This window comes from Homo sapiens, chromosome 7, assembly GCF_000001405.40.
Source record: "Homo sapiens chromosome 7, GRCh38.p14 Primary Assembly".
In the NCBI taxonomy this organism is placed as follows: domain Eukaryota; kingdom Metazoa; phylum Chordata; class Mammalia; order Primates; family Hominidae; genus Homo; species Homo sapiens.
The window spans coordinates 55750727-55759091 of record NC_000007.14 but is presented as its reverse complement, the minus strand read 5'-3'; the positions used below and the strand labels follow the sequence as shown (position 1 = coordinate 55759091).

The window sequence follows — 8365 nt, the reverse complement described above, 5'->3', positions numbered from 1 at the left end:
TATTTTTTTGTTTTTGATACCAGGTCTCACGCTGTCACTTAGGCTGGAGTACAGTGGCACAACCTCTGCTCACTGCAGCCTCCACCTGCCAGGCTCAAGCAATTCTTCTGACTTAGCCTCCTGAGTAGCTGGGATTACAGGTAAGTGCCGCCACACCGAGCTAATTTTTGTGTTTTTTGTAGAGATGGGGTTTCGCCATGTTTCCCAGACTGGTCTCAAACTCCTGAGCTCAAAGCAATTCACCCACCTTGGCCTCCCAAAGTGCTGGGATTACAGGTGTGAGCCACCTTGCTCATTCTAGTTTAAACTTTTGAGTGGTTTGTGTCTCCTGATTGGACTCCTACAAATACAGAATTGATGGTAGGAAGGGTACCAGGAGATAGACCCACACAGATGGGATTTGGGAATAAGTTTGGTTATCCAAGGAGCAGTGCTGAGCTCCTTGCTAATGGGATATGGGATGCTGGTGATTTCCAGGAAGTGACCTCACAATGACTCAAGCTACCACTTACTGTTGATTGTGATGAAATACCAGGTGAAGGCCGGGTGCGGCAGCTCACCCCTGTAATCCCAGCACTTTGGGAGGCCAAGGCGGGCGGATCACTAGGTCAGAAGATCGAGACCATCCTGGCTAACACGGTGAAACCCCGTCTCTACTAAAAATACACAAAATTAGCTGGGCATGGTGGCGGGCACCTATAGTCCCAGCTACTCGGGAGGCTGAGGCAGGAGAATGGTGGGAACCTGGGAGGCGGAGCTTGCAGCGAGCCGAGATCCTGTCACTGCCCTCCAGCCTGGGCGACAGAGTGAGACTCCGTCTCAAAAACAAAAAAAAGAAATACCAGGTGAAGCATATGCCCTGCAAGCTTAGGGGTGCTACAGTTGACCACTGTAGCAGTAAAGATGACTGAAGAATAGCATGGGATGGATCCTTTCGAATGCACTTGAGCAGCAGTCTCCAACCACAGGGCCACAGAGCCAGAGGTGAGCAGCAGGTGAGTGAAGGGAAACTTCATCTGTATTTCTAGCCCCTCCCATCGCTTGCATGACCACCTGAGCTCCACATCCTGTCAGATCAGCAGCAGCATTAGATTCTCATAGGAGCACGAACCCTGTTGTGAAGTGTGCATGCGAGGGATCTAGGTTGTGCGCTCCTTACGAGAATCTGATGCCTGATGTTCTGTCACTGTCTCTCATCACCCCAGATGGACAGTCTAGTTGCAGGAAAACAAGCTCAGAGATCCCACTGATTCTACATTATAGTGAGTTGTAGAATTACTTCATTATATATTACAACGTAATAATAATGGAAATAAAGTGCACAATATTTGTAATGCACTTGAATCATCCTGAAATTATTCCCTCCACTCCCAGTCTGTGGAAAAATTGTCTTCCACACATTCACTCTGTTTTTTGGTAGAGACAAGGTCTTAATATATTGCCCAGACTGATCTCAAACTCCTGGCCTCAAGTAATATACCTCTCTGAGCCTCCCAAAGTGCCGAGATTACAGGCATAAGCCACCACCCTCAACCAAGACTGTTTCTTAAACCAAATAAAAATTAAGTGAGATTACTTGAGCCCAGGTGGTCGAGGCTGCAGTGAGCCCTGATTGCACCACTGCACTGCAGCCTAGGTGACAGAAAATAAAAAATCAAATAAAAATAATGTCTCAAAAAATAAAATACAAATTAACCCTTTATGACATTCCCAGTAACTTTCCTTCTAAGTGTTCCCACAAGTCTTTGAATTTTGTTTAATTTTCACATACCATTTAAGACGTTTAAGAACTTATGTCTGTTTGTGTCATCCCTTTATTTCAAAAGAATGTATTTGTCACTTCCAGCTGGATCTACCATGAAAGACTTCTGAATCCAGGAAAAGAGACTGACTGGGTAACATGTTATTCAGGTACAAAAAGACTTGGACTATAACTCAAAAATGGTCAAATAATAGTGCATGCATCAAATGCAATGGGAAGCTCTTTTGGAGGCTGAAAGAAGTTTCCAGTTAAGGTGACATTGAAGCTAAGTCCTGAAAAATGAGGAAGAGTTGTATGAGAGTGGGGAGGGAAGGGGGAGGTGGAGGGATGGGGAATGGGCTGGAATGGGATGGAGTGAGCTGCCCAGGCAGGGAAACCAGCACTGCACAGACCTGGACAATGAAGATGGCACATCTTGTTCAGGGAATGGTGAATTAAGTGTGGCAGGAATGCTTTGTGGAGACAGTAATTTGCTTGTATGGAATTTTGCCTGATCACTACAGTTTCTAATTTTTTGATGTTGTCATCCATCACTGTCCTTGTCAAATAGTTTGGAATAGGTATAATGATCACAGTAACACCAAGCATAATATTTCGTTAATTCTCACAGAATCACAGGTAGGTGCCACAGTTATCCCCATTTTACGAATGAAGTGATGAAGACTTAGCAATAATGAGTGATTTGCCCAAGCTCACCTGGATATTAAGACTGAGTCGAATGTTGGGTCTGGTCTGACTTTAATGCTTGCTTTGTTCATGAGCACCACGTATTGCCTCTCCTATGCAGTTAAGCAGGTAGACAGGTGAAAGAAAAGCCTGTGTCTGTCTCTGCTCACACACTTCCGACTGAATGTATGTATGGAGTTTCTACACCAAATTCTCCAGTGCTCTGGATATTAACTGGGTATCCCATGATTTTATTCTGACACTGCCTGGAGTTAGCGCAGACCCCACAAGTTAGGGGCTCAGTCCCATGAGACCATCCTCACTTCAGATGCCAATGGCAAGTCCTAGGTTGTCACCTGTACTTTTGACCAACCTGTTACAAATCGGGGGTTCCCATAACTCCATTCTTGGGTTTAATTATTTGCTAGAACAGTTTACAGAACTCAGAAAAACAGTTTATTTTCTTTTTTTCTGAGAGAGAGGGTCTTATTTTTTTGCCCAGGCTGGTGTGCAATGGTGCAGTCATAGCTCACTGCAGGCTTGACTGCCTGGGCTCCAGTGGTTCTCCCACCTCATCCTCCCTAGTAGCTGAGACTACATGCCTGCACCACCACATCTGGCTAATTTATTTTTTGTATAGATGGGGTCTTGTTGTGTTGCCCAGGCTGGCCACAAATTCCTGGTCTCAAGTGATCCTTCCACTTCTGCCTCTTAAAGTGCTAGGATTACAGATGTGAGCCACTGCATCTGGCCAGTTCATTTCCTATTACTGGTTCATTGCAAAAGATACATTTCAGAAACAGCCAATGAAAGAGACGTACATGCTGGATGCAGTGGCTCACGCCTGTAATCTCAGAACTTTGGGAGGCCGAGGTGGGAGCATCGCTGAAACTGAGGAGTTTGAGACCAGCCTGGGCAACATGGTGAAAACCTGTCTCTATAAAAAATAAAAAAATAATAATAACCGGGTGTGGTGGTGTGCACCTAGAGTTCCAACTACTAGGGATGCTGAGGTGAGAGGACACCTTGAGCTGGGGACTGGGGAGGCTTAGGTTACAGTGAGCTGAGATTGTGCCACTCCACTCTAGCTTGGACTAAAGAGCCAGACCCTATCTCAAAAAAAAGAAAGATGCCCAGGGCAAGGTAAGTTAGGAGGGGCACAGAGCTCCCATGCCCTCTGTTGAACATGCCACCCTCCCAGCATCTCCTGTGTTCAGCAACCCCAGAAGCTCCGCAAACCCTGTTCAGGGTGTTTATGGAGGCTTTATTATGCAAGCATGATTGATAAAATCTTTGGCCGTTGGTGATTAAGGCAGTCTCCAGCCCCTCTTCCTCCTGGAGTTCAGTGCATGAGGCTGAAAGTTCCAAGCGTCTAATCATGTGGTTGCTTCCATTGGCAATCAGCCCTCCTCCTGAAGAAATCTAGGAGCTTGCAGTCACCACGTCATCTCAACAACAAAATATTAAAACAAAAGATGTTCCTGTCACATCTATCACTGAGGTCTTTGTAAGAGCTTTAGAAGCTCTGTGCCAGGAACCAGGGACAGAGATGAAATATATATTTCTTTTCTTTTTTTTGAGACAGAATCTCCCTGTGTCATCCAGGCTGGAGTGCAGTGATGTGATCATAGCTCACTATAGCTTTGGCCTTCTGAGATCAAGCGATCCTCCCATCTCAACCTCCCAAGTAGCTAGGACTACACATGCATGTCACCCATGCCCAGCTCATTTTTGTAGAGTCGGAGTTGCACCATGTTGGCCAGATGGGGTCTTCTTTTGTTGCCCAGGCTGGCCACAAATTCCTGGGCTCAAGTGATCCTCCCACCTCATCCTTGTAGAGATGAGATTTAGTTATGTCGTCCAGGCTGATCTCAACCTCCTGGGCTAAATCGATTGTCTCACCTCAGCCTCTCAAGTAGCTGGGACTACAGGCGCATACCACCATGTCAGGCTAATATTTATTTTTATTTTTTTCTGGAGGTGGGGGTCTCACTATGTTGTTCATGCTAGTTTCAAACTTCGGGCCTCAAGTGTTCCTCCTGCCTTGACCTCCCAAAGTGTTGGGCTTCTGGGTGGGAGCCACCATGCTCAGCAGTCACAAGGGTCTTTATAAAAGAAAGAGAGTAGGAGATTCAGAATTGAAGCAGGAGATGTGGTGATGAAAGCAGAGGTAAGAGAGGGAGATTTGAAGATGCTTCACTTCTGGCTTTGAAGATGGAGTCAGGGGCCATGATCCAAAGAATGGGGGTGGCTCCTAGAAGCTAGAAAAGCCAAGGGAACACTTTAGAGTCTCCAGAAGGAATGCAGCCCTGCTGGCACCTTGACTTTAGCCTTAATGGACCTAGTTTGGGTTTCTGGCGCCTAGAACTGTAAGATGGTAGATTTGTGGTGTTTTAAGCCACTAAATGTAGGAAACTGCAAACTATGTTGCAGCAGCAAGAAGAAATGAACATGAAGCCAGGCATGATGGCTCATGCCGGTAATCCCAGCACTTTAGGAATTTAGGCAGGAGGATCACTTGAGGCCAGGAGTTTAAGACCAGTCTGGGCAACATAGTAAGACCTTGTCTCTACAAAAAATGAAAAAACTGGCCAGGCATGATGGCTCACGCCTGTAATTCCAGCACTTTGGGAGGCCGAAGCGGGCAGATTACCTGAGGTCAGGAGTTCGAGACCAGCCTGGCCAACATTGCGAAACCCCGGCTCTACTAAAAATAGAAAAATTAGCTGGGCGTGGTGGCACGCACCTGTAATCCCAGCCACTTGGAAGGCTGAGGCAGGAGAATCACTTGAATCTGGGAAGTGGAGTTTGTAGTGAGCTGGGATCGCACCATTACACTACAGCCTGGGCAAGAAGAGTGAAACTCTGTCTCAAAATAAAATAAAATAAAATAAAATACTAAAGAATTTAGCCAAGCATGATGGTGTGAACCTGGAGTCCCAGCTACTCGGGAGACTGAGGTGGGAGGATCGCTTGAGCCTGGAAATTTGAGGTTGCAGTGAGCTTTGATTGCACCACTGCACTCCAGCCTTGGTGACAGTGAGATCTTGAAAAAAAGAAAGAAGAAAGTAAAGAAAGAAGAAATGAGCATGGTGGGCATGGGGACAGATGGCAATGTTAAATAGAATGGTCAGGGGTGGCCTCCTAAGTGAAAATTGAGTAAAGACTTGAAGGAGGGGAAGGAGCTGGCCAAGGTGCTGAGGGAAGAGGCTCGTAGACAGAAACAATAGAATAAAGTGTCTGAGGTGTGTCTGAGGCTCTGGAAGGAGGCCCATGGAGCAGACGGAGAGAGGGAGAGAATTCGGGGAGGGGGCCAGGGAGTTGCTGGGTGGGGATCAGTACAGATCACATAAGCCCTGGGAGGTTATTGCTGGGGCTTTGGCTTTTAGTCTGACTCAGATGGGAACTGCGAGAAGGTTCTGAGCAGAGAGGCGACATGATCTGTCTCCCATTTTAAAAGCGTTCTCTGGCTGCTGAGTTGAGAAAAGACTATGGGAAGATGTGGGTAGAAGCATGGGGGCCAAGCTTTGGCAACATCCAGGCGGGAGATGATGGTTGTCCTGACCAGGGCCATGGTGGTGTTGAGAGATGGTCAGAGGGGAGAAGTAGGGGAGGAGGCCAGGGAGTTGCTGGGTGGGGATCTTTAGTACATGTCGAAGACAGTCAACAGGATTTCCTGACAGACTGGATATGGGGTGTGAGAGAAGGCAGGGGTCAAGGTTGAGTTTGATTGTTACTGAAATTATTAAGTAATTTTAAAAAACACTACTGCCTTTCCCAATCCTACCAAGTATGGGATGCTAGATTAAAGAAATCTCTTCAGGCTCATTGCAGTGGCTCATGCCTGTAGTCCCAGCTGTTTGATAAGCAGAGGTGGGAGTATCTTTTAAGGGCAGGTGTTCAAGACCAGCCTGGACAACACAGCAAGATCTGCTCTTTACAAAAATATTTTTCAAAATGAAATAAATGTAGCTAGGCATGGTGATGTGTATTTGTAGTTTCAGCTACTCAGGAGGCTGAAGTGGGCAGATCTCTTGAGGTCAGGAGTTTGAGGCCAGCTTGGGCAACATAGCAAGACCCCTCACTCTACAAAAAAATTAAAAAAATAACCAGGCATGGTGGCACTCAACTGTACTACCAGCTACTGGGGAGCTGAGGCAGGAAGATGGCTTGAGCCCGAGGTCGAGGCTGCAGTGAGCTGTAAGTGCACAGCTGCACTCCAGTCTGGGTGACAGAGCAGGACCTGTCTCACAATACAAATAAAAATACAAGTAAAATAATGACATCTCAAGTCAGAGCCTTTTGGCTCTGCAGCCCTTGCAACCCCTCAGCCGTGCAGTGGGGTTTGCGTCTCTGGGAATGAGGAGACCCCTGCCCGGTGTTGTTGCCTGACTAATCATTGTTTTAAAACATATATTAATCGGGGTGGGCGTGGTGGCTCACACCTGTAATCCCAGCACTTAGAGAGACCCAGGCGGGTGGGTCACCTGAGGTCAAGAATTCAAGACCAGCCTTCTCTGGTCTTGAATTCTAAGAAAATACAATAATTAGCCGGACATGGTAGTGGGCGCCTGTAATCCCAGCTACTTGGGAGGCTGAGGTAGGAGAATCGCTTGAACCTGCGGGACGGAGGTTGCAATGAGCTGAGATTGCGCCACTTCACTCCAGCCTGGGCAAAAGAACAAGACTTTGTCTCAAAGAAAAAAAAAAGTATTATATCAACATGTAATGGTTTTATCACTAATATGTAATGAATATTAAATATTTTTAAAATCTTGTATTATATCAACATGTAACGGCTTTATTAATATGTAATGAATAATATTTAAAATTTTTTGTCTTATTTTCTAGTTTTAATTATTTACAGAAAGAAATAGTCCTAGAGATCTTCAATAAAGTTAAAAAATGTAAAGGGATGTTAGACCCCAAAAGATTGAGAATTTCTAGTTTAGAAATATTCAGAGTAAGCCACATACAACTTGCTACTTGAACTATTTTTTTTCTTTGTGTTTTATTTTAGGAGATGGGGTCTCACCCTGTCACCCAGGCTTGAGTACAGTAGTGCTATCACAGCTCACTGCAGCCTTGAACTCCTGGGCTAAGGATCCTCCTACCTGAGCCTCCTGAGTAGCTGGGACTGTAGGTATACATGACGATACTTGGCTAATTTTTAAATTGTTTTGTAGACATGGGGTCTTACTTTGTTGGCCAGGCTGGTGTCAAACTCATGGCCTCAAATGACCCTTCCACCCCTGCCTCCCATCCTAGAGGTATGTGCCACCACAAGGAGCACTTGTTCAATTTTCTAAAAAAAAATTTCTAAAGTAAGGCTGTGGGATGATGGCAGGAAGATAAAAGAAAAACAGAAGAATAAGTTAAAATGACTTATTCACACATACTCTTTTGACAGCAAGAAGAACTTTTAGTATATACATTCCTTACAAACAAAAGGCAGATAAACAATGTTGTATAGGAACTTCAACACACACTGTACAATATTCCCACTTTGCTGACATAAGTTATGGAAATTTCGTGGTTTACTTGAGTGTCGCTGCCAGTATTTTGCTTCTCTGATCATTTTTATCAACTTCCTCATCTGTTAACTTCTCTTCAAGGTATGTCATATCATGACATACTGCCGCTGCACGAACATGGCCAGTGTCTTCCTATTAAACATGTAGAATGCTTTCCTAATTTCTCTTTTTACTTTCTGTCTTTGTGTTTTGCATTTTCCTTACTTTTATTGTCAGAAACTCCAGAAAGTCAATCGTACTAATTTATCACCATTTGCTTTATTAATTTATACTTTGCTTATATGGAATTTTGCCCAACAGACCTCATTACAATTTCTAACCTATTTTTTTTTTCTGAGACAGGGTCTCCCTCTCTTGTCCAAGGCTGGAGTGTAGTAGTGCTATCACAGCTGACTGCAGCCTC

The 8365-nt window shown here is 45.1% G+C and overlaps 1 long non-coding RNA gene across 2 annotated transcripts; it reads left to right on the top strand.

Moving 5' to 3' along the window:
• The first annotated feature begins 231 nt into the window (after window positions 1-231).
• On the top strand, window positions 232-8345 carry LOC102723656 (uncharacterized). 2 transcript variants are annotated; one of them, XR_927276.2, is made up of 3 exons: window positions 232-995; window positions 1847-1911; window positions 8305-8345. It is a non-coding gene; the product is annotated as an uncharacterized LOC102723656 (long non-coding RNA). The 2 variants fall into 2 exon arrangements; XR_428152.3 differs by lacking the exon at window positions 8305-8345 and adding an exon at window positions 7449-7488.
• The last annotated feature ends 20 nt before the right edge of the window (window positions 8346-8365 follow it).